This window comes from Homo sapiens, chromosome 1 (genome assembly GCF_000001405.40).
Source record: "Homo sapiens chromosome 1, GRCh38.p14 Primary Assembly".
Lineage (NCBI taxonomy): Eukaryota > Metazoa > Chordata > Mammalia > Primates > Hominidae > Homo > Homo sapiens.
The window spans coordinates 55,759,136-55,761,000 of record NC_000001.11 but is presented as its reverse complement, the minus strand read 5'-3'; the positions used below and the strand labels follow the sequence as shown (position 1 = coordinate 55,761,000).

General features: G+C 42.3%; 1 annotated feature.

The window, feature by feature from the left end:
• Window positions 298–823: an enhancer, noted in NCBI's record as "H3K4me1 hESC enhancer chr1:56225851-56226376 (GRCh37/hg19 assembly coordinates)". NCBI's record gives its function as "activates a minimal SCP1, AML or CMV promoter by ChIP-STARR-seq in primed H9 embryonic stem cells {active_cell/tissue: H9 hESC(primed)}" and the evidence as "EXISTENCE:reporter gene assay evidence [ECO:0000049][PMID:30033119]".

Here is a 1,865-nt window from a genome sequence, read left to right as displayed (position 1 = left end):
GTTCTGATACATCCACTGCTCTCTTCAGAGCTGCCAGGTAGGGGTGTTTAAATCTACTGAAGCTGCGCCCACAACCACCCCTTCCCCCAAGTGCTCTGTCCCAGGGAGGTGGGGGTTTTATCTGTAAGTCTCTGACTGGGGCTGCTGCCTTTTTTTCAGAGATGCCCTGCCCAGAGAGGAGGCTGTCTGGCCGCAGTGGCCTTGCTGAGCTGCAGTGGGCTCTGCCCAGTTCTAACTTCCCACGGCTTTGTTTACACCGTGAGGGTGAACCCACCTACTGAAGCCCCAGCAATGGTGGATGCCCCTCCCCCCACCAAGCTTGAGTGTTCCAGGTCGAGCTCAGACTGCTGTGCTGGTGGGAGAATTTCAAGCCAGTGGATCTTAACTTCCTGAGCTCTGTGGGGGTAGGTCCCGCCAAGCCAGACTACTTGGCTCCCTGGCTTCAGCCCCCTTTCCAGGGGAGTGAATGGTTCTGTCTCGCTGGCATTACAGGTGCCACTGGGGCATGAAAAATAACTTCTGCCACTAGCTGGGTGTCTGCCCAAACAGCCACCCCATTTTGTGCTGGAAACCCAGGGCCCTGGTGGTAGAGGCACCGGAAGGAATCTCCTAGTCAGTGGATTGCGAAGAACATGGGAATAGTGCAGTATCTGGGCCAGAGTGCACAGTACAGTCCCTAATGGCTTCGGTTGGCTAGGAGAGGGAGTTCCCTGACCCCTTCTTCTTCCTGGGTGAGGCGATGCCCCACCTGCTTCGGCTCACCCTCCTTGGGCTGCAGCCACTGTCCAACTAGTACCAATGAATGAACCGGATACCTCAGTTGGAAATGCAGAAATCATCTGCCTTCTGCGTTGATCTCACTGGGAGCTGCAGACCAGAGCTGTTCCTATTCAGTCATATTGCCAGCAACCCTAGTGATATTTCTTAAAGTATTTTCTCTGATAAAAAGCCACTCCAACTCTCTCATGGTTATTGTTTGTATGGTTTGTCTTTTTCCTTTTTGAAAAATTTCAATTTATTTATCTTTAAATCTAAGACTTAAAGATGGATCTTGCATTTTTATCCAGTCTGACAGTCGAGGCCTCTTGATTAAAGTATTTAGTTCACTCATATCTAATGCATTTATTGATATGGATGGGTTTATGTCTACCACTTTGCTATTTGTTTTATACATGTCTCATGATTTTTGTTCCCCTTTCTGTCCTTTATTTTCTTTTCTTGTGTTATACAAATATTTTCAGTACACTATTTTAATTACTTTGATGTTTTAACTATATTTTTGAAGTGTTTTTAGCGGTTGCTCTAGGGATTTTAATATTATCTGTAACATCACAACTCATCTCAAGTTAATACTGACTTTATTCCAGCAAAAGATAGCAACTTTAAGCCAGTATAGCTTCATTTCCTTCCCCCTTCTTTTCATTTCATTCCCCCAATATTGTCATCCGTATCACAACTATATGTGTTGTAAATTCAATTTTACTGAATTATAGCTATTGCTTATGCTTTTTTTGAATAAATTAATAGATGAAATTAATAGGTGAATTTCTTTTTTTAAAGAAATTAATAGATGAATAAAAGTGCATATTCTGGAATTTTTCATTCGTACTGTGGATCCAGGTAATCATACAGTATCATCTCCTTTCAACCTTAAGGATTTTAGTATTTCTTGTAGGTCAAGTATGCTGGCAATGAATTCCTTTAGCTTTTGTTTATTTGGGGAAATTTCTTCATTTCACTTTTAACTTTTGAAGAATAATTTTACTGGGTATAGAATTCTTGATTGACAATTTTTCTTTCAACATTTTGAATAAATCATCCACTTCTACCTGGACTCTCTTGTAACCATGAATTGTTTCATTGTA